At 42.4% G+C, this 24,257-nt stretch overlaps 2 long non-coding RNA genes across 4 annotated transcripts, besides 1 other annotated feature; one reads left to right on the top strand and one right to left on the bottom strand.

Moving 5' to 3' along the window:
* Positions 1,434-2,260: an enhancer, noted in NCBI's record as "NANOG-H3K27ac hESC enhancer chr8:55991285-55992111 (GRCh37/hg19 assembly coordinates)". NCBI's record gives its function as "activates a minimal SCP1, AML or CMV promoter by ChIP-STARR-seq in naive H9 embryonic stem cells {active_cell/tissue: H9 hESC(naive)}" and the evidence as "EXISTENCE:reporter gene assay evidence [ECO:0000049][PMID:30033119]".
* Positions 5,931-21,371, bottom strand: LOC107986887 (uncharacterized). The gene is made up of 3 exons (XR_001745712.1): positions 21,293-21,371; positions 17,998-18,172; positions 5,931-5,962 (listed from the first exon to the last, which is right to left on the bottom strand). It is a non-coding gene; the product is annotated as an uncharacterized LOC107986887 (long non-coding RNA).
* Positions 14,805-22,629, top strand: LOC107986886 (uncharacterized). Of its 3 annotated transcripts, none has more exons than XR_001745709.1 (4): positions 14,805-14,896; positions 15,014-15,115; positions 19,372-19,437; positions 22,497-22,629. It is a non-coding gene; the product is annotated as an uncharacterized LOC107986886 (long non-coding RNA). The 3 variants fall into 3 exon arrangements; XR_001745710.1 differs by lacking the exon at positions 22,497-22,629 and adding an exon at positions 21,284-21,368; XR_001745711.1 differs by having other exon boundaries at positions 14,851-14,921.
* Positions 22,630-24,257: the final 1,628 nt, after the last annotated feature.

Below are 24,257 nucleotides of genomic sequence, written 5' to 3'. Positions count from 1 at the left end.
AGTTCATATTTTGTCTATGCAGAAAGCGCTATTGGAAAATTTTAAATTGAGTGGCATTATACAAAAGATCTCCTTCAGTTTTGAAGTCTCCATTTGAGTTCCCAAGTCTGCCTTTTTGGGTGCCAGGTCCTTCAGAAGTCATATGGATTCAAGCAGGAAACAGACTCTCAGGAGGTAGGTGGTCACTCTAATGGTATCTTCATATTAATTATCTTTCTTATTTTATTTGGATTGGCCTATCTTACGGACCAAGTGTTTATACCACCCCCACTCCAATTCATGTATTGAAGCCCTAATGCCGAATGTGACCGTATTTGGAGGTAGGGCCTTTGGGAGGTGATTAGGGTTAGATGAAGTCAGGAGGATTGGCTCTGATGTGACGGACTAGTACTCTTTTAAGAAGAGACCCCAGAGAGCTCTCTCTCTTTTCCCACAAGCACCTCTCTGTGAAAATGGTGAGAATAATATCTAGCTTGGAAAGTGGATAGAAAGGTTGAGTGAATTGCTTTCCATATGCTGAGCTCAGTGCTTGGCAGTTAGCAGGGGCTCCACAAGTAAATATTAGTTCCTTCCTTTGACTGAAATCTTACCTTGACAAGACATGTTTCAAGTGCATTCCTTCTCCTTCCATACTCCCTCCAGAAGAATCCCAACCTATAAGAAGTAGGTACAGAGTCTGTGATACCTCATTCCTCCACCCGCACCCCCCAAAAACGAAAACCCAGAACTAAGAAAAACTCCTGCTGGACAAGTAATGACCCTGAACTAAGAGACTTAGGAAAGTAGCAGGTGGAGATAAACATTTCAGTGGATCTAACATCAGAGCTGAGGCTGAGTGCAGGTCTTTAGGTGATTGCTCCCCAATGTCATAGGGAGCAGTGAGTCAGAAGCTAGGTGGGAGAACAAGAGAAATTAAGCAAACACACAGAGAGAAGATGTCAACCTAAGGTAATCAAAAAGGTCAGAATGTAGTTGAAAGAGAGTTTATTCAAGCGCAAAGGTTAAGGACTGCAGTCCAGGACACATTTCCAAGTTGCCTTGGGGAGTGCTCCAGAGAACAAAAGCGAGGATCAAGTCATTAAAGAACTAAAGGATGACTCATGAGAGTGATTACAAAAGCTGTTCACCAGGACTTCTCTTAGGTTTGCAGAAATAACACTGGTTAGTGACTGGCTATACATTGTTGAACTACAGGGTATGTGGCATTTTATGGCTACGAGGCATCAGTTTAGAGCCTGCAAAGCAAGTGGCTTCCAGAGGTAACTATTAAGCACAGGGAAAGTGAGACATAACCGCTTTTACATTTTAAATGCCTCTCTGGGCCTGATAATTTAGAGGGGCTTGCATTCCTCAGATAAAAGGCTTTTTTCTTTCTCAAAGCTAAAAGGCAGCAGTAAGATCCAAGCTCATCTCTACAGCCGACTTGGTACTGTATGGTAGGAAAAATCTTTTCCTTTACCCATTTTAGATTCTCCACCTAGGGTTCTATACTGAATCAGACAGGGCAAAGATAGATTAACAAGAGAAAAACAATAGAAGTTCATTAACATGCACATCATGCATGTGACACACGACAGTACCCAGAGATGAGTAGCTCAAAGGGGGTGTTTAGAACTTAGGCTTATCTACCATCTTAGGCTAAAGGAAAAGGGGTTTGCAGCCTCTGGATGAGGAAGAAGCAAGCTATGGGAAGGTGACCAGGAAAAGTAAGGCAAACCACAGTTGTTTTTTGTTTCGTTTTGTTTTGATTTTTTGAGATGGAGTCTCACTCTGTTGCCCATGCTGGAGTGCAGTGGCACGACCTCGGCTCACCGCAACCTCCACCTCCCAGGTTCAAGCAATTCTCTTGCCTCAGCCTCTCGAGTAGCTGGGATTACAGGTGCCCCTCCACCATGCCCGGCTAATTTTTTTTTGTACTCTTAGTGGAGACGTGGTTTTACCATATTGACCAGGCTGGTCTTGAACTCCTGACCTCAGGTGATCCACCTGCCCTGGCCTACCAAAGTGCTAGGATTACAGGTGTGATCTGCCGTGCCCTGGTACCAGGGTTGTTTAGTAAGTTTTGTTATGCTGATTTAAGTCTGTGCCTTCTTCATCCTTAAGAGTTGTTAAGAGTTTCCCTCTTCCCAGTGCAGAGAGGCAGATCTCTCTAAAAATGAAAATTTCCTTTATAAATGTAAATTTCCTTTCCAAAAGGAAGATGCTGTTTTTAGAATCTTTCCTTCCTCTGCTGGTTCTCAATGGCCTTTCACTCAAAACAATTCATATGCCAAAGAGGCATATTTTGGGGTGATAGACTCTGGTATCCCTTAAAACCTGCCTTTGCTTACCCATTTGTTTAATTATTCCACAAATACTTCACAAATAGTTACTAAGAGTCTACTGTGAACCATTCTAGGGTGAAAAGAGAAAACAAATAAACAGAAAGGCATATACAGCAGTCCCTCCTCATCCACGATTTGGCTTTCTGACGTTTCAATTACACCCAGTCAACCCCTGAAAATATTAGATGGAAAATTTCAGAAAAACAATTAATACATTTTAAACTGCACACCATTCTCAGTAGTGTGACAAAGTCTGGCGTCCTCTCACTCCATCCACCCTGGACACGAATCCTGCCTTTGTCCAGCACATCTGTGCTGTAGACAGTCCCTGCCCGTGAGTCACTCAGAAGCCTTCTCAGTAATAAGATAGACCGTCACAATATTGCAGTGCTTGTGTTCAAGTCACCTTTATTTTACTTAATAGTGGCCTTAAAGCAAAAGAGTAGTGAGGCTGGCTATTCCAATATGCCAAAGAGGAGCCCTAAATTGCTTTTTTTTTTAAGTGAAAAGGTGAAAGTTCTCAATTTAATAAGCCAAGAAAAAAAATTGTATGCTGAGGTTGCTAGGATTTACAGTAAGAGCAAATCTTCTATCTGTGAAATTATAAAGGAGGCAAAAGAAATTTGTGCTAATTTTGTTGTCATACTTCAACTGCAAAAGTTACAGCCACAGTGTCTGATAAGTGCTTTGTTAAGATAGAAAAGGCATTAAATTTTGAAGCCATCCTCACAGGGTTAACAAAAATTCTGGACAGAAGTATAATTAATAGTATAGTTATAATTAAGCATTAATCAAGCTGCCCTTTGGCCCAGTAGATACCATTTGCATTTCCATTGTTCCTATAGGTAGGATCTCTGACATTAGAATCATAAGAGTTCTGTGTAAGCTAGATAGGATTTCTTATGTTAGACTCATAAAGCTTTTAAGAATTGCTTAAGATGTTTTTTGGATCCCAAATTGTAGCAAAACTGCGAATGCCACCCAGTCTGCAGATCCCCACAAAGGAAGGAAACATCATGAGCATACAATTTCTTCCTCTCCCTGTCCCATGACTTCACCCTGTCCTCTTCGGCCAGCCAACAATCTCCACACTTCAGCCCACTCCAAAATCCTTAACAACCCTAGTGCCAAACTCCTCAGGCAGACGGACTTGAAGTTTTCTCCAACTCCTCATTCAGTGACCCTATAATTAAACTTCTTTTTCTGCAGCAACCCCATGACTTGGTATATTGATTTGCCACGTGCATCGGGCAATGGGCCTGTTATGGTTGTAATTTTGAGAGTAGAATACATGAAGATAAAACATGTTCCAATTGATGGCAATATGTGCTCCAGAAAGCACTGAGCCTATGTGAAGCCTTCAGCAAGGGGTCCTTGAAAAGGAGTGACACCAAGCCATTTATTAAAAGTAAGGAATGGTTACATAGAGAGTAAGGGATGGTTACACAGATTCAGGAATGGGCTTAAACTGAAAACTATAAAAATTACAGGAAAGTCTGTGTCTGACAATGAAGAGTTGATTAAGAAGAAAGACTAGCATCCAAAGCAAGGCTTCAACTGGCTCTTCTGGAAGAAAACGCCTAAGAGGACCTACAACAGAGACACTGGGGCATAAAACATGGCAGGACAGATCAATTCTGCTGCTGTGTAGCAATGATGCAGGGCATATAACAAAGCCAAGCATAGTGTACAGAACAAGAAACCCTTGTGTTCTCAAAAAACAAAAATTATGTCTCTGTGTTCTGGCAACATAATCAGAAAGTGTGGGTGACAGCCATCTTGTTTATGGAATGGTTCCACCAATGCTTCATCCCAGAAATGACAAAATACTTGGAAGAGGAAGGGTTGAAATTTAAGTCCTATTAATAATAGACAACGCACTTGGCCATCCTGAATCTGTTTGCTGTGAAAATGAAAAGTCAAGGTCATATTTTTACCTCCAAATACAATCTTATTGCTTCAGCTCATTTACCTGGGCATCATTTGATTTGTCAAGTCAATATACAACTGCCTGATATTTGATCACACATGATCAGCAATTAATGCAAACACCAATCTGAACATAATGCAGTGCTGATGCAACAGCATTTATCAAAGCTGCAATGAATGGATTACAACCAGAAGCTGTAAATGGCTACTGGACAGACTTATGGAGTGCTGACCTGAATAATTTAAAAGGCTTTCTGGGGAGCATCAGAGAAATTAGGAAGACCATTCGTGAAGCAAGACAAGTTGGTGAAGAAAGATTTGCCAACATGCTTGGAAGCATGAAAGAACATATTGAAGGCCACTGAGAAGCATTAACAAATGAAGAATTGGAAGAACTTGTTGAGTCCTCTGCAGAGGAAAAGGAAGATAAAGAAGAACTGAAGCTGAACCAGCAATATGAAAATTACCAAAATTTGCCAAAGTGTTTTGAGTTGCACAGACTCTAAAGGACAAAATTGTGGAATATGATTCTTAAATGGAACACAGCATTAAAGTCACCCATATGATCAATGAAGGATTAAAACCTCTGCAGAAACACTTTGATGAGTTAAAAAGAGACAACACCTTCTGATTACAGTGTTCTTCCAGAAAGTTTCAACCAAAAAACCTTCTACTATTGAGGATTCCCCACCATCAACATCGCCTGATCCTGACATTCATCCATTGACGTTGTCAAGGCTCGAGGAACCAGAATCACTCAAAGCAGAAGGTCAACAGTAGCCTAACACTGCATCACAATGCCTATAACGCTCACCTCACTTCATCTCATCAGGTAAGCATTTGATCATTTCACCCTTTCATAAGCAGAAGGATGAGTACAGTACAGGAAGATATTTTGAGAGAGACAGAGACCATTTACATGTTTATTACAATAGCTGTTGGAGCAAAATTAATTATAAGAAAACCATTTTCCCCATGGCAAATGACATAAGCAAGAGTTCAGTTGCTACAACACATTACTGGTTAAAAAAGTCACCAAACTAAGTAGTGACCCAGAACACTTCTAATATTAAACATTGAAATAAATGTGAGCTGTACATACATTTAAGAATGATTAAGGCTGGGTGCGGTGGCTCACGCCTGTAATCCCAGCACTTTGGGAGGCCGAGGCAGGTGGATCATGAGGTCAGGAGATCGAGACCATCCTGGCTAACAAGGTGAAACCCCGTCTCTACTAAAAATACAAAAAATTAGCCGGGCGCGGTGGCAGGCGCCTGTAGTCCCAGCTACTCGGGAGGCTGAGGCAGGAGAATGGCGTGAACCCGGGAAGCGGAGCTTGCAGTGAGCCGAGATTGTGCCACTGCAGTCCGCAGTCCGGCCTGGGCGACAGAGCGAGACTCTGTCTCAAAAAAAAAAAAAAAAAAAAAAAAAGAATGATTAATAACAAATAAGAAAATGATTTACTCAATTTTTGGTGAATTAGTGAGCAACAGAGGTCAAAGTGGTGGTGAGTTAAATCAAGGAATAAATGTTTGTGAAGAAAAAATTGTTAGGAGCACCTCCTCACATCGTGCAGTTCAAAAACCATCACAAGGCCGGGCATCGTGGCTCACACCTGTAATCCCAACACTTTGGGAGGCCGAGGCTGGCAGATGACGAGGTCAGGAGATCGAGACTATCCTGGCTAACACGGTGAAACCCCATCTCTCCTTAAAAAAAAAAAAAAAGAAAGAAAAAAATTAGTTGGGTGTAGTGTCAGGCACCTGTAGTCCCAGCTACTCAGGACGCTGAGGCAGGAGAATGGCATGAACCTGGGAGGCAGAGCCTGCAGTGAGCCGAGATCGCACCACTGCACTCCAGCCTGGGTGACAGAGCGAGACTCTGTCAAAAAAAAGAAAAAAAAACTATCATAAACATGGTGGCTTGCTTTCGTCCAGCATTGTATATTGTTGTGTATTTGCATGATTATTGTATACTTTTTACAATATTTTTACATGGTAACCATTTGTATTCATTCATTTATTTTTCAACCCACTTATTGCAGTTCAGGGTGGCAGGTGGCTAAACCTATCAACCGCTCAGGGTGCAAGGTAGGAACCAGCCCTGGATAGGGTGCCATCTCATCGCAAGGTGTATAGGGGGAAATTCAGCCAGATATCAGGCAAAATTCACCCCCAGTATTTCACGGGGGAAATTCAGCCAGATATCGGGCAAAATTCACCCCCAATATGTCACATAGATTCTTTTCTATTTTCCCTAAGCATCAGCTGGGTTGAGAAATAAAGGGACAGAGTACAAAAGACAGCAATTTTAAAGCTGGGCGTCCGGGGGAGACATCACATGTCGGTAGGTTCCATGATGCCCCACAAGCCGCAAAACCAGCAAGTTTTTATTAGGGATTTTCAAAAGGGGAGGGAGCGTACGAATAGGGTGTGGGTCACAGACATCACGTACTTCACGAGTTAATAGAATATCACAAGGCAAATGGAGGCAGGGTGAGATCACACGGCCACAGGACCGGGGTGAAATTAAAATTGCTAATGAAGTTTCAGGCACCATTGTCATTGATAACATCTTATCAGGAGACAGGGTTTGAGAGCAACCGGTCTGACCAAAATTTATTAGGCTGGAATTTCCTCTTCCTAATAAGCCTGGGAGTGCTATGGGAGACTGGGGTTTATTTCATCCCTACAGTTTCAACCATAGAAGATCGCCACACCCAAGGGGGCCATTTTAGAGACCTACCCTCAGGGGCGCATTCTCTTTCTCAGGGATGTTCCTTGCTGAGAAAAAGAATTCAGCAATATTTCTCCCATTTGCTTGTGAAAGAAGAGAAATATGGCTCTGTTCCACCCGGCTCACTGGCAGTCAGAGTTTAAGGTTATCTCTCTTATTTCCTGAACATTGCTGTTATCCTGTTCTTTTTTCAAGGTGCCCAGATTTCATATTGTTCAAATACACATGCTCTACAATTTGTGCAGTTAACGCAGTTATCACAGGGTCCTGAGGTGACATACATCCTCCTCACCTGACAGGATTAAGAGACTAAAGTAAAGACAGGCATAGGAAATCACAAGGGTATTGATTGGGGAAGTGATAAGTGTCCATGAAATCTTCATAATTTATGTTTAGAGATTGCAGTAAAGACAGGCATAAGAAATTATAAGAGTATTAATTTGGGGAACAAATAAATGTCCATGAAATCTTCACAATCCATGTTCTTCTGCCATGGCTTCAGCCAGTCCCTCCATTTGGGGTCCCTGACTTCCCGCAACAAAGGTGCACTCACACACAACTGCATTCGCCCATATCCACACTCACTCACACATACACCCACACTCACTCACACTGGGACCATGTAGACATGCCAGTTGTCCTAAAGGGCACAGCTTTGGGATGTGGGAGCAAACTGGAGAACCTGGCAAAAAACCAGGCAGACATGAGGAGAACATGCAAACTCCATCCATGCAGTGGATCTGGCAGGAAATGATGTTTTTATTTATTATTTGTTTATTTATTTTGAGGCAAAGTCTCACTCTGTCGCCCAGGCTGGAGTCCAGTGGTACCATCTTGTCTCACTGCAACCTCCGCCTCCCGGGTTCAAATGATTCTCCTGCCTCAAGCTCCTGAGTAGCTGGGATTACAGGCATGTGCCACTGCACCCAGCCAATTTTTGTTTTTTTAGTAGAGACGGGGTTTCACCATGTTGGCCAGGCTGGTCTTGAACTCCTGACCTCAAGTAATCCACCTGCTTCTGCCCCACAAAGTGCCGGGATTACAGGGGTGAGCCACAGCATCCGGCCAGGAGCTGATTTTTTAAAATCATCAATAAAACAACATTGAACAAAATGACATTATTTGAGAACCTGCTGTCATTGTTCTATTTTATTATTATTTGTTGTTGTTCATCTCTTCCTGTGCCTAAGGTACAATTTAAGCTTTATCATAGGCATGTATGTATAAGAAAAAACATAGTGTACATAGGGTTTGGTCAGACATCCACTGGGCTCTTGGAACAAACCCACCGTGGGTTAGCAGGGGCTACTGTTCAAGTGGGTGCTAATAAGGGCTCTGAGGACAGATAAAGCTGGGTAAGGGAGCTAGGAACAAGGAACATCATCAGATCCTTAAGGAAGGCCTCTGTCAACGCTCGTGAGGTGACATTTGAGTAAAGGCCTGAATGGAGAAGCAGTGAGTCATGCTAATAGATGGGGAGGAACAATTCAGGCAGAGGGAGTCCCTGCCAATGCTTTAAGCTAGAGGGCCCCCCAGCATATTGGCATCACAGCCAGGAGGCCAGTGAGGCTCAGAGGAGGGAGTGAGGGTGACAGGGAGGGAGAGTCACAGAGGGGAGGCTGAGGGCACAGGCCATGTAGGCTCCAGTAGTGCCCTTTATCTGGCCTCAGAGACACTTCCCCCACCCCCCCCCCTGACCCCCTGCCCCGTTACACCGAGTTCTTATAAGACCTCTCTGCTTCCTTTCAAAGAAGACTTTTTCATTATATTTGAGCAAGTATGAATGGATTTTAAATCCTAGAAACAAAAGAAACTTTATTGGAACATTTGTCTCTCCTGATATGTTTTAGTTTTGCTAATCCTAAGGACTGGGTCTCAGTCTTTTCCTGAGCCTGTGTCCCTGGGGTATGATCTTCACAAGTGCTTCTCAGTTTTGTCTTGTTTATTTTGTTTTGTTTTCCCCTGGGTGAGAAGAGGCAGGCAAGAGAGGCCTGGAGTTGTGTTTCCCTTCCCCCAGTTCAGCCAGGCTCCCAGGCTTGTGTCTCCTGAGGGCAGAACTTATAAGGACAGAGTGCTCTGGAGTTTTTCAAAAGCACCCCCAACCCCCTCAGCCCATCCACTCCCACCCCGCCCATGGAGACATGAGGGGAATTTTCTCTCATCTTCACCATGAGAACCTGCTAGGGCTCCTAGAAGGAGGTAAAACTCAAAAAAGTGTGGGCTCCTTCCATCCATGACTGGGTCCCCCTGGAGCTTTTAACCCTCAGCGTTGTCTGCACTGAGCCTCCAGCAATTAGTCAATTCTAACTCCGGTTCTGGTTCCCCTGAGGGTTTCTGCGTTTGGGCTCCTGTGCCACTAAGTCCTGATCCTCCCCATCTGCCCGTCTGCCTCTCTAATTTGAAGAGCGGAGGGTTGTCCTGTGATCTTAGTTATCTGATGGATCTAAGAAAGTTGTTAGTTTTCATTCACTCAGCTTTTTTTCTTGCTGGGTAGATGAATGAAATGATTTCCAAGCTTCTTACCTCCTGGATCGGAAACCGGAAGTTCACTTTTAGTCTCTATTTACTTTGAAATTACGTAAGCCAGGGCCTCCGCTCCCATGTTATCGTAGAACTGCTTGCTGCAGAGGTCCAAGGCCTCAGTCTTGCCTTCCTCCTCCCAGCACAGTTTTGCTCAAAGGAATGGCTGACTGAAGCCTCTATGACATTTCTTTTGTTCATACATGCATACTCTCTGACTTTTGCCTGCACATGTAGGGAAGAGAATGGCTGAAACTCAAAAGATAAAAATTAGATGAATAAAAATGAAGAGATCAGATGACAGGTTTGTGATTTCATCGTATAGATGCATCTTTCGGCGTTTTATAGATCTCAAGTGTATATTGCATGCCTCATCTCTACGTGTTTGCCATTCTCTTCAAGACAGCTTCAAGACTTTCCTGAAAGAAGGTGAAAATATCAGAGAAAAACAGAGAAGCTGAAAATTGGGTTTAGAATAGTAATTAAAAATGAAATCTCCATGTCAATATTGGATAAAGAGTGTTTTAGAGGATGATACTTTGAGTAACAGGATATATAAATTAAAATTGGGGGATTTTATATGGAAAGGAGGATGAAATAAATAAGTGAAATAAGTCTGTGTTTATTGAAATCCCTAAGGATATCACATCCCAAGGGTTAAAATCTAAAAGATTCACAGACAAATCTTATAATTCATTTCAAAAATAATGGGCATTATCATTTGTTTTCCTTTCTTAGGCTGTCTAAGTAATACTTGCCTTTGAGCAAAGATTTTCTTTAATCAAAAAGTACATTAAGGTTTAAAAAATTACTTTGGCTTTTTGCTAGTTCTAATCAGTTAGATTTTAATTTTCCTCACCCCAACCTTAATCCCTTTCTTTCTTCCACTCTGCTTCTTTTCCTTCTTCTTAACTTTTCTCTCCTCTCTTCCCTCCAACAGGTCACAGCTTGCCAGCTATTATCACCTTCTGGAACCATCCCTGGTAAAAGCGTTCAAAACCTTGGTGACCCAATGAGAATTCTCCAGGTCTTCTCGGGCCCTGTTCTTGCCCATTATGCCATCTGATTAGCAGGGCACACGCTGGGCTCTCAGAAAAATAGGTCTTTACAGTGTGGTATAATTAAGAGAGAACAAAATCTGGATTCAGAAAGCCTACGTTTGAATCCTGTCTCTGTGACTTACCAGTTATGTGACCTAATAAAATCACAGTCCCACTGGGCGTCATCTTCCTCACCTGAAAACTAGATATTAATGGCATCCAGCTCAGTGGGGGCTTTGAAGGCTAAATGAGAGAATACAAAGCTATTGTATGAAAAAGCTTTGTGCACCTATATCACATTGTGTATGTCATTGTACTAGGCAGCTCCTAATTCAAGAGGGCTCCATCATCCCAAATTGCTGCTCTTTATTCCTAGCTTGAGAAGTGGAAGGAGGGAAATAATAATAATATCTTTGATAATAATGGTGGCTACTGTTTATTAAGAGCTTACCTGTCACCAGGTGCTATGCTATATGCTTTACAAATAATATTTCAACCAGATCTGACAACTCAATGAGATAGAAACTGAGGCTCAGAAAAATCAGTCACAAAATTGCTAAATTGTCAAGCTGGGGTTTTGTAACGTAGTGCCCCCATTGTTCTAGAGGTGGCTTTTTTTTTTTCCTCTCCCTCTTCTTTTCGTATTCCTGGGCTCCCTGTTTCCTACTTAGCCCTTCAGAAATGCAAGTATAGCCTTTTACCTGCCCCGTCACAGACATTCCATACAGGTCAAGTTCTGTGTGCTCCAAGACAGATCTCTTCTTGGACTAAAGCACAGCCGCCATGGAACTCTCACCTCCATGGGGTTGCCTCGGAACTTTCATCCATCAGGAGGGCTCATGGAAAGCATGCCCGTGTGAACACTTTTACAGCTTCCTTCTGCCCAGGAAGGCACCACCTCAACTGCCCAGTAGATAAGACACCAAGCTAGCAGGTGTACCCCTGTCCTTACTCATTTTCTTCGCAACCTTATATAAGTGCCTGCTTTCTGCTCCAGAGGTGGAGTGGCACATTTAAAGGCGGAACATTTTGTGCCCCTTCCCCAAGCTAACTTCAGAATGAATTCACTTATTTTGTATCAGACCTGGCTCTTGTTAATTGGACTCTCATGTGGAAAGCAACTAACCTGTTTCTTCGTTACAATTTGAATGTGTGTCCTTTCTGATACCAAAGCCTGTGCTCTGATAACTATACATGTTTCCCAGCAGCCATTGTATCGCCTTTGGCACACCTCAGCGGTCTACTTCCTGGCCCTTGGCAGGAAAGCTGCCCCGTACTCCTGCAGAGAATAAAGTGGGAGCTTGTATAAGGGACAAGAGTAAAGAACACTTGAGGTGCTGAAGAAGGCGATGCCCCTCAGATGGTGGGTTGGTCACTAGCAGCAGTGTAGCATGCCTACTGGGGTCATGTGTCTCATCTTTAGGCCAACCCTGCTAAAAAAGCCAAAGCTAAGTGTGCCGAACACGCCAGTTACTGTTTTGGGTCTGCCTAGCACATTTTCACCTATCTTTTCTTCTGCTTTCGGCACTCCCTTTTGTTTGCAGAACTCCTTACCCATTCCTTGAGGTTCTGATGGAAATACCAGCGATGGTGCCCCACTTGCAACCTCTATCTGAAGGGTGGGCATGTGACCCAGGCTGCATGTGTAACAGTCACCCATGCCTTTGGCAGCACATGTTAATCTACTGGGGATCTGACTCAAGAAGGCCATTCAGAGCCCATTCCCTGGACTGCTATTTGTAGAAAGGAAAGAGAGAGTCTCTTCCTACCAGTGATACCAAGTTGGCATGTAAATCTGAGGTTCCACCTTGCCCTTCATCCTGCTAAAATAGAGTAAGCACATCTTCACGAAGAGGTAATCAGGCCAACATGCAGAAGAAATTATGAAAAAAAGAAATTATAATTGAGAGAGAGAAACTGTCCACATTGTTTCAGTTTGTAGATCCAGCCTTGCTTGAGCCACAGTCTACCTCTGGCTTTCCCATAGGCCCAAACCAACAAATTTCCTTTTTTTTGAGTTGAGCTAATATGAACTTATTATAAGTTAGAGTAAGTTCTTAGAATCAAAAGAATCTTCATTCAATTGATTTAATATAGTGATGAAAGATAGAAATCCCAGAGGTAGAAAGTGAAAGTATATCAATAGATGAAGACTATATAAATTATAAGATGGCTTCACTCCAAGACAAAAACGCAAATATGTATTGCAAAGAAGGAACTGTGAACTGTGTTTTCTCCCTGGATATTTCTATAATTTCTACTTTAAAAAAGCAAACATCCACAAGCTGTAGGGGAAAAATACTCAAGTGACAAAATATTTTAATATGCTGCACATTCAGACATAGATAAAGATTCTCTGTTTTTCTTCTTACCGCTAGCTTGAGGTTTGTACAGAAATACTGCCTGAGAAGTATTTATTATCTTCCTCATACCCTATACCAAAAGCCATAACATAAACCATTCAGATCATTTTAGAAAGTTATTTAGTGGTGGGGGTTTTGAGGATAAGCCTGAAATCCTGAAGGTGAGTTTTGATCTCATTTAAAGTGCAGTCCAAACAGCAGCTTAGTGAATCACATCAAATTAGCAACATGAGGCAATGCAGGACCAATTTCTACATTTTAATTTTTCCTGCTTCTCCTACTGTGAAATGCTATTAAAGAATGTGAGTAAAGCCCAACAATGTAGATCTTGGTGCTCTGGCCAGGTAAGACAACCAGTCTTTTTTTTTTTTTTTTGAGACAGAGTTTTGCTCTTGTCACCCAGTGTGGAGTGCAATGGCGCAATCTCGGCTCACTGCAACCTCTGCCTCCTTGGTTTAAGTAATTCTCCTGCCTCAGCCTCCCGCGTAGCTGGGATTACAAGTGCCCACCACTATACCCTGCTAATTTTTGTATTTTTAGTAGAGACGATGTTTCACCATGTTGGCCAGGCTGGCCTCGAACTCCTGACCTCAAGTGATCTGTCTACCTCGGCCTCCCAAAGTGCTGGGATTACAGGCATGAGCCACGGAAACCTGGCCAGAGATTTTCTTTTCCCCCTGAGAAAAACAGAGATTTTTAAATAGATCAGATTTAAAGTAGAAGTTACTTCATCACCTTCAGGCTTTGCACTCTATTTACTCATCTAATATATTTGAGATTTTGGCAAGCACCTAATAAGGATTACAGATGTCTATTTTGAGCACTTCACACTGGCTGTATTTTCTATTTGAGAGCTGTTTTGTTGACTTGAGCAGTGCAGTTGAAAGGAAGGAACTTGGTTAAAGGACAATTAGCTTTGTGGTCTTCATCTTTTTGGGCTTCAGTTACTTCACTGATAAAATTATGATTGTTGTAAATCATGTGGCCCCACTAAATTGTAACTTTCCACTAATACAAACACTTATCTCAAAGAACAGTGCTATGTATTCTTGTTTGTACAGACTCAGTTCTTTCTTCATTAACATTTCAGCATAGTTCTGGCATTTAATAAACATGAGTGATTGTTTTCTTGGCCTAAGCAATCACGACAGTCTAGTTGATTTGTGTTCACAAAATATAAGAAATATGCTTTTCTACCACCATTCAAAGGAGAAATGCTGATGTGTAACTCATTGATTTGACTTATGGCAAGCACACGAAGACAATGGTAGACTCCAGCATATTTAAGTGCATTTGCAAATGCTCACTAAAATCTGATTGAAATGTATGTCTTTCTGCACACTAATATTTTAGTAACAACTATTGCATATACAGAAATTGGCTCACAAAGGTAGACAATCTGCCTTTGATATTTTAAAACCATAGGTGGAAGAGGCTGCCTAACTATTTTACATAATTTTTTCCTTGACCTTTAAGCTGCTGAGGAAAGACAAGGATTTCAAAAAATCTTTATCATGATCACAACCAGGAAGGGGAGGGAGGATCATAAAAACTGATCAAAGCAATTCATCTGGTAGTGCTGGCAACATCTTGGCCAGCTAAAACACTCTGAAAACTATGGATTTAGTAGATTTTTATAAACTACATACAAATTGTTTATGTAAATGAGAATTTTCCATAGCTTAATTAATTTATATTTATTTGTATAATATGCACATATATTAAATCATTTATTTCTCGTACCAACTCCACAATGTACGTACTATTATTATTCTTGTACAGATGACTTAACTGAAAGAGAGAAGACGAATAGCTTCCAAAGATTGTGAGCTCACAATAGACAGAGGCTGGTGATAAGCTCAGGACACCAAGTTTCAGAGCCACGCCTGTGCCCCTACCCCAAAGAGACCTCACCATGAGCCCCTACCCCACAGAGACCTCACCATGAAGAGGTGAAGGAGTAGGATTTCCTTTGAAGGATCTTGTATGTTTATTTCAGTTACACTGTGGTCAGTTTATAAGTTTCATACGAATAATTTAGAATGTTTTCCATTGAGCACTGTTTACTGGGAAATACTAGAGAGGCCTTGTTTTCTTGTAGGAAGTCCTTGACAGATGAGAAGAATATTGAAGCTGGCTAAGAAGGTCACAGCTGGAAGGCCTGAGCTGCTTTGCTGAGGGGTAGTGGGCCCTGCTGAACAAGGTACCCTAGTGATGCTGGAGGGTTTGGAGGGCAGGAGTGCATGTTCTCTAACATCTGTTAATGTAGGCCAGAGGTATAAATGTCTAGAGCCAGGAGGATTCTGCAAGCAATTATGTTAGACTGGCCAGTCAGCACAATAGGGGAGTGAGCTGTGGGGAATAGAGGGTACACACGCAGCTGCAGAAAGCCAAAGATTTCCTTTGCTAATAAAGATCTGGAAGCAGTCATTGTACTCTGCTTCCCAAGAGGCAAGTTGTCTAATCAGTAGACCACAGCGCAGAGAGATCAATCAAGATGGTGGCCTTGCCTGTGCAGGTTCTGCCAGGTCAAGTGAAGCGTCAAGCTGGAGAAGATCTAAATGCTGACAGAATGCTGGAACCTGCAGCCATGTGGCCAGGAGACAGATTCGCCTCCAGACTTCACATGAATCTTTTTGGGCAGTTTAACCAGTGTCACCCAGAAACCAATACCCGTTAATAAGCTGCTAGATGGGAACAAAAAAATGAAGCCCTGGAATGCAGCCAGTGAGCCGGCTCTACTGAAACATTGCTTACAACTTCTCAGCTGATCCAGATGTGAGACAAATGTACGACCATAGATTCAATTAGTAGCAATCGCTATAAAGTGAGCTGAAAATGGAACAGAAAATCTAGGAATATTTGCTGATTTATAGTCCCAAGCCTGGGGAAGGTGCACAGAGAGCAGCTGGGTATGGGGCTGTCAAAGATGGTGTGACTTTTCCTTTCTTTCTTTCCTTTTTCTTCTTTTGAAGAAGGCAGTATCAAAAATAGCAACACGCTCAGCAAACAGCATCTACAGCTGCTCAGGAAAGAACAGCCTTCATTCAAATGCACTGCAGAAAGGACAGCTGGTCACATTGGTCTTTCAGCCTTCCTGCTGCACATATTTAGTAACAGAGTCGGTGGCAGTTTCTTTGAGTATAAAAGACACTGATAGATATCTGGGATAACTCCAATTCAGTTAAATTTTGCATAAGGAGGACTTACCAAGTCCTTTTCCATTATGCCCAAATTCAATTCTCTCTAGTTGTCCCAGATTTTTTTTAATATGGAATATCTCAGACTTTAAAATAGAAAGAGATGGGGCTATTAAAACATAAAGTCAGAGCATTAAAAGTCACGATCTAGGCTGGGTCAGGGTGGTGACTGCTCCAAATAGAAAAATGACAGGATGTTTTGTGCATCCATTCAGAATTAATATTCTGTTCTTCAAACATGAAACATATAGTTTCCAAGTTATTAACTGATAATTCCTAACTTTGAAGTGGGGTACGTGGAGGGATGAGGTCCCCATTCAGTTATAATTTGACAAATGGACTCAGTAAGCAGGCATTTAATACTGGGAACACTGCACAACCAACAGTGTTAGGAATTGAAGAGGCAGCCAAATAATGAACAAATCCACCTGTCCCTTAGGAAGGCACCTACACTCGGACACCGGCATACCTGGTACAAATAATTGTTACTATAATGCACAGTGGATTCAGTGCACACACACACACACACACGAATGCACACACAAAACCCACAAATGCCCTAAGGGAACAGAGAGAGATAGAATTTATATCAAGGAGAAGGAATCAAGAAGGGATTTGGAGATGGACCTTGAAGAATTAGCAGGGTTTTGACAGGTGAAGATTTTGAAGTTGGGAGGGGGCAGAGTAAACTTGGGAACCTATAAAGTCATCCAATTAGGATGTAAAATAAAAAGCTGAACGGGAGGGCTTAGTCCTGTATGAAGGGATTTCAGCTTGCAGGGTTTTGAGCAGGAAAGCGACATGGTTGGAACCGCAATTTAAGAAAATGTCCAATCTAGTCAGATAGTTTACTTTTTATTATTCTTGCCCTCTGTCCACAGGATATTCAGAGATGGAAAGGAGTAAAATGTAATAAGTGCTTTGGATGTTGTCATGATGCTCAAGTTCACCCTCTTTTTAGTTTTGAAATATGATATTATCTCTCATCATCTGTTATTTAAAAGATGGCAATAAATATCAAATTAGACTCTTTCTTCTAGAGCACTGTAAACATACAGATGAGAAAAAAGAAGTATGGTTCCATAGGCTGTGCCAGTAATAATAATTAACACGATGCTTTCTGACAAAAGTAGGGCAGGTTATTATTGAGCTCTGTTTTCAGAATGGGAAGCTCAGGTCTTCGGGATTCAGATCCTGGTCCTGCCCCTCCACCTGCTGTTCTCTGTGGCCTCCACCAAGCCCCCCTAAAGCCCCTTGATGTTCCTTCCCGGCCTCCTTCTCTAGTAGCTTGTCCATTGGCGATTTGACATTTAAAAATATCTTCAGCAGTGTAAGAAGCCCTTTGCTAGCCTTGGTCTCTCTGTCTTCTTCCTTTGTAAATCTATTTTTGGAGATATAGCCTGAAAATGTGGTTGTCAAGGTAAACATCTCTCGGTAGCAAAGAAAATCTTGAAGGATTTTGGAACTGATTAGTAATAAATGGGGAAAGAAGATCAAGAAAACAACTTCAGAAAATGGTCACAGACCTGCACACCTATCACGGGCACAGCACAGGAATTACTGACAGAGCAGGAGGGTGGAAAGAGAACAGATATAACAAGATAGGAGCGTTTAACTCCAAGGAACAGGAGCCAAGGCTCATCCATCACAATACCTGACTCTGCCCGGACAGCCAACACTCCCCATGTTCACCCAGCCTGCTCCTTGGCCTATGCTCAGGTAGCTGAAGCAGTGGAAAATACTCGGGGTCTCAAAAAAGGAAGAAAGTAGCTGACCCATAAATATCACATTTTACAAAGATTTCCTTCCTGTCAGAACCTGAAGAGAATGATAGTGTCATGTGAGTAACGCTAATAGGTTTAATATAACAGGATGTGAGACTCACCTTTCCTCTTCCAAGGGGTCTGAGAGGTCCTGAGATGAGAGAGTTGCAGAGGCTCAGATGCGCTCTTTGTCCCAGCCAGTTATGCGGACATCTGCATCACGTCCTGGAGCTTTAGTGTCACTTGCACGCACCTTCATTTGATATGTCCCCAGACTGCATCCAGGCCCTTTGTCACCTGAGAATTAGGAATGATTTCAGCACCAGAGTCGGCTCTGTTTTTAAAATTTGTTTATTTCTTTCTCATTTTTTTTTAAATATTTTATTTTTGCAGAGACAGGGTCTCACTATGTTGCCCAGTCTGGTCTTGAACTCCTGGCCTCAAGTGATAATTCCTGCCTCAGCCTCCCAAAGTGCCGGGATTATCAATGTGAGCAACCACACTCAGCCAATTTTTTTTCTTTTTAATTAATAATGGAAGAGGCTGAGTTTTTTTTCCTTGAATTTCTGGCTTATCAGTGTTCATAATGAACTTTCTGCCAAGTAAATCAATATGAAAATGAGATTTGTTAGCACTTTAGCCAGAAAGCATAAGAAAAAGGATGGGTTAAACTCAGGTAACAAGCTTGGAAGTTTGTCTTCTGGAAAGCCTTTGTTTTCTGAGGAGGACTACCCACTCCCCACCACGGAGGAGAGCTAAAATGGACAAGTAGATTCAAGACTTAGTAGAATCTATGAGTCATCTTCCTTGCCCTGGGCCAATCTGTGCTCATCTAGAAAAGGCCAGGCTGTTAGTCCAGGAAGCCCCTCTTAAGCATGGGGGATGCATTCTATGACCCCCCAGTGGGTGCCTGAAACCATAGATAGTACCAAATGCCATGTCCACTATGTTTGTCCTTACACATACATATGGATAATAAAGTTTAATTTGTAAATTAGGCACAGGAAGAACTGTCTTAGTCCATGTGTGCTGCTGTAAAGGAATAAATGAGGCTGGGCGATTTATAAAGAAAAGAGGTTTATTTGACTGCTTCCATTCATGGCAGAAGGGGAAGGAGAGCTGGCATATGCAGATCCCATGAAGAAAGGAAGCAAGAGAGGGTAGGGAGGGGCCGGCCTCTTTTTAAAAATCAGCTCTCTTGAGAATTAACGGAGAGACAATTAACTGTCTTCCCACTCCCAAGGAGGGCATCCGTCTGTTCATGAAGGGTCCACACCCAGGAACAAAACACCTCCCATCAGGCCCCACCTCCAACATACGGAATCACATTTCAACATGAGGTTTACTTGACAAACATCCAAACTATAGCAGAGATGAACAACAGTAACTAATAATAAAATAGAACACTTATAATAATACAATATACTTAATAAAAGTTATGTGAATGTGGTCTCTCTCTCTCTCCCAAAGTATCTTATTGTATGTAATATTTTCAGACGGCAGTTAACTATGGCTAACTGAAAACAAGAAAAGTGAAACCACAGGGGGATGACCACACCTGAGTGAGTATTAGGGGGTGGAGCTCTTTCTGTCCAGCTGTCAAGTCCAAGCTTCCTTCTGCCTTTGTAGGAGATACTCTCCTTTTTTCTAACAAGGTAGCTAGTGCATCCCTAAAGCTGGGGTAAGTTTTGTGCTAGAGAAAAGCCTTCTGTCAGCCTACTACCATGCTAAGGTGAGAGTGATGAAGGAAGTGTATTCTTTTCAGGGGTATCTTGACGGGAAAAAAAGAATGGCCAGTGGAAGCTATGATTACTCCAAAACGATGAATTCTTTATTGTAGAGTGCCAGGGACCAGGGCACTGGGGCTGAGGCAGATGTATGTGAGGGGAGGTTGTGCGGAAGGAGCAGTGGTGAGGAGGTGGTGGGCTTTTTCATTAGCCCACATTATCATTCAGTTTACTGTTAAGCCCAGTCCTATTGTGATCCACAGACATTGTTGATTCCTAGTCCTCTTGTCAAGGGGACTACCTAGGAGAAGGTTGAAGCAAGGGACCCGCACCATGGGCTTTTTTTTTTTTTTTAAGACAGTCTTGCTGCATCACCTAGGCTGGAGAGCAGTGCCAGGATCTTGGCTCACTGCAACCAGGTTCAAGGGATTCTCACTCCTCAGCCTCCCAAGAAGCTGGGATTACAGGTGTGAGCCACCTCACCCGGCCATGGGCATTTTTCAGTCCAGCTCTGACCCCTGCTGGCTCTATGACCTCAAGACCTTTGCCTCTGATTTCTAATCTTTAAAATGAAGATATAACAATATTTTTTCATGTAACAATGGCAATGCAAATCCCTACAATTAGTTACACATTTGAACATGAGTGGAGACTCCAATCCTCCCTCCCACTATGACCCTTCCTGCCAGTGCTAGCCGAGAGAGGAAGCAATCTGAAATGGATCCAGAACACAGTTTGGGGTAAAGCATTAAAAAGTCTTGTTTCTACTTGGAGAATTGTTTGGTGAATCTCAGGCCCTTTTGTATCCCTAATTTTAAGAATTTCTAAGAATTCTCTTCTAGGGCTACAAGGGGATTTAGAATGCCTCTCGTTTGGAGAGAAGAGACCTCCTTCATTACAACACCTGCCCACCCTCCAAAGACAAGAAAGAACAAAGACTAGGACAGAGGCCAATGGACAGGCTTCTTAGGTCTACGCTTAATCTAGTGCAAGGTTGTAGATAGGTTTCCTCTCCGGTACCAAAAAGTGCTGTGTCGGGAAGGATTCTGAGGCCACATCTGGGTCACTATGGATCATCAGTGTCTGCCAGGGGTGTTTCAGGAGGTCCCAGAGCATGCAGCTCACTAATTTGTCCTCCCTAGTCTAGTTATATATCACTCAAACTCACAATGGTTAGAGCCGAGCTAGAATTTAGGCCCAAAGCTAGAACTCAGTCCTGCAGAATGTGCTTTTGCCGTTAGTGTCCTCTTGCATTTATTTTTCCCAGGATTTTATTGGGCTTTGGCTATGTTAGGCAATCAAAGATTTGGGATCCTATCTGAGTCCCTTTTCCTGAGAATGATGAATGCCTGACAGTGCTCAGCAAACCAAAGTTGAGTTTGGTTATTTGCTGGGTCACACAGGAGCCCCAAGCTGGAGCAGCTGCACAGCTCATGGATCCATTTTTATTTAAGAGGTAAAGTTTTGAGAGAGAAGCTTGCTCACGGGTGGGGTAAAGCAGTCTCACTTAGGTCTCTCAAGCAGCAAAAGTGGCTGCAGTCCTGGATGTGTACATCCTGAGTACAACAGGGAGGAGGATCCCTCTGAGGACAAGCAGGTTGCCCTTGGAGAGGCAGAGAGAGATTCTGAGCAGCGGCTCTGGGACACAGGTGAATGAAACAGCGGTACTCTTTCTTTTTAGCTCCCTTACCGAAGGACGCAGGCATTGGTGTTGCTTGGAAAACGTTCTATTACAAATGCTCACAGACGGAAAGGTTGTCCTAGACGAGTTATTCAATTCAGGAGCGAAGCATCCGGAATGGAACTGCTAAAGAGAAAGGTTAAAAGAGTGTTCTTTAAATATGTATTAAGGATGCTAAAGAGAATGAAAAAGCCTCAGGGAAGACCCTAGCGCCAGTGTTGGCAGTATTTAAAGTTTCTAAAGGTAGTTAGAAACACAGTTTCAGGAGGCATTCTCCTGCAGAGGAGATGGTCAGTACAGTTGAGGAAATCTTAATTCTGTAGTTAACCTATTTATGGTTAACTTGCCCCAAATGCATTCTTTTTTTTTTTTTTTTTTTTGAGACGGAGTCTCGCTTTTTCGCCCAGGCTGGAGTGCAGTGGCGCAATCTCGGCTCACTGGAAGCTCCGCCTCCCGGTTTCACGCCATTCTCCTGCCTCAGCCTCCCGAGTAGCTGGGACTATAGGCGCCCGCCACGGCGCCCAGTTAATTTTTATATATTTTTTTTTTAAGTAGAGACAGGGTTTCACCGCGTTAGCCAGGATAGTCTCTATCTCCTGACCTCGTCATCCGCCCGCCTTGGCCTCCCAAAGTGCTGGGATTACAAGCGTGAGCCACCTGCCCCCCGCCCCGCCGCCAAATGCATTTTTAAAATCACTGGTGTGCCCAAAGCATGGTGGCTCATTCTGCTAATTTCAGCACCTTGGGAGGCCAAAGCAGGTGGAGCCCTTGAGGCCAGTTGTTCAAGAGCAGCCCTGGCCTTTATTTTAGACTTTCCTAAAATAAAATAAAATCACTGGTGATAGAGTCTTGATAACTGGTATAAACAAAAACTAAAATCCCTTTATCTTTCTTCTCCTCCCTTTTCTCTATTTGCTTCCTCCTGCTAGACAACAGACATAGCCACTGTCTCTGTTCTCTTGTCCAGCTAATAATGACATACAGATCTTGATGGCAGTATTGTCTGGTTCTGGAATAGCCCGTTTGCTAGGGGGACATTTACAAAAATGTACTAGGGGTATTGGCTACTGCAGAGGTGTCATTACGCTCTGGGGTTTAGTGCTTTGGACATATTGCAGATGTGGTGGCTACAGTCCACGGCTGTGTTCAGTTGGCTCCTGAAACTGAAATGAAGATGGGCTAGTGTCAGCGTTAGCTTATTTCCTCTTTCCAGGAGAAAACAGCTGGATGAATTCCAGTGGAAGCCGACTTGACCTTCAGCTACCAGCCAGTGACCCCAGCTCACATTGTGTCTGGAATTGGTAGGTTCTTGGTCTCGCTGACTTCTGGAATGAAGCCACCAACCTTCACGGTGAGTGTTACAGTTCTTAAAGATGGTGTGTCCGGAGTTTGTTCCTTCTGGTTCAGATGTGTCAGGAGTTTCTTCTTTCTGCTGGGTTTGTGGTCTCGCTGGCTTCAAAAGTGAAGCTACAGACCTTAGGCGGTGAGTGCTACAGCTCATAAAGGTAGTGCGGACCCAAAGAGCAAGCAGCAGCAAGATTTATTGTGAATAGCAAAACAACAAAGCTCCCAAGACATGGAAGACCACCCAGCAGTTTGCCCCTGTGGGCGTGGGTGGCCTGCTTTTATTCCCTTATCTGGCCCCACCCACATCCTGCTGATTGGTCCATTTTACAGAGAGCTGATTGGTCTATTTTACAGAGAGCTGATTGGTCCTTTTTTAAAGAGAGCTGATTGGTCCGTTTTGACAGAGTGCTGATTGGTGTGTTTACAATCCTTTAGCTGTACAGAAAAGTTCTCCAAGTCCCCACCCAACCCAGAAGCCCAGCCGGCTTCACCTCTCAACATCAGGCCTTAGAATGGAACACTTTTGCCAAGGCTGAGCAAAAGGAAAATATGAGAGGGAAGAAGCTTTGTGCATGTCTTGTAATTTACATTTTTCTAAATTAGTTAGAAAGATTCAAAAGAGTTATTTAATGAATACGACTAAACATTTATGAGATGATGACAAATTTAAGCCACTTATGTTGCTGTTATTCTATTTTATGAACAGTGTTGAAATCCAGTACACAATATTTAATTTCATCTGCTGGGCTTTGTTGGTTGATGCAGGTGAGCATAACTCAAGATAACAGAGATGAGGATGGTTTTCTGACCTAGTAGATGGTCTAAGTGTGTTTTTTTCTCTTCCCTTAATGTCATCATAATTTACTGCACAATTACGTGCATCAATCTTAATTTTATAGTTCATGAGTTTTGACAAATGCATGTACCCAGGTGCTCAACACCCTGTTTGAGATGAAGAATGTTGACTTAGAAAACCCTTTTTTCCTCTTCTTCACTAATCCTCTCCCCAATAAGAGGCAACCACTATTCTGATGTCTGCCACTGTAAATTAGTTTTACCCGTTCTTTAAACTACACATGAATGAAATCCTATAGCACATACTCTATTTATGTATTTTTTATTTGAACAGATTATGTTTTTGAGATGTATCCATGTTGTTGGTTATTGGCTGTTTTTATTACTGACAAGTATTTATTTGTAGGAATGCATCATATATTTCTCCATTCTCTTACTGATGGACATTTGTGTTGTTTTCAGTTATAGGAAATTATGAAGAGAGCTGCTATGAACATTATTACACAAGCATTTTCCTGCAGATATGGGAATGTGGTATTGCTTTGTTATAGGAGAGTTCCGTGTTTACATTTGTAAAGATTTGGCAAATTGCTTTTCAAAATGGTTGTACCATTGTACATTCACCCTAATAATGTATGAAAGTTCTAATTCCTCCACATTTAGTGATGTTAGCCCTTTTAATTAGCTATTCTAGTAGAATAAAAATATATCTCCTTGTGATTTTATCTTTCTCTCATGAATAATGATTTCTTTTTTTTTCCTCTTTTTTTAAACTGTTGTTTTAGGTTCAAGGGTACATGTGCAGGTTTTTATACAGATAAACTCGTGTCAT

The sequence above is a fragment of the Homo sapiens genome, chromosome 8, assembly GCF_000001405.40.
Source record: "Homo sapiens chromosome 8, GRCh38.p14 Primary Assembly".
Classification (NCBI taxonomy): domain Eukaryota; kingdom Metazoa; phylum Chordata; class Mammalia; order Primates; family Hominidae; genus Homo; species Homo sapiens.
This window is presented reverse-complemented; position numbering and strand designations above follow the sequence as displayed.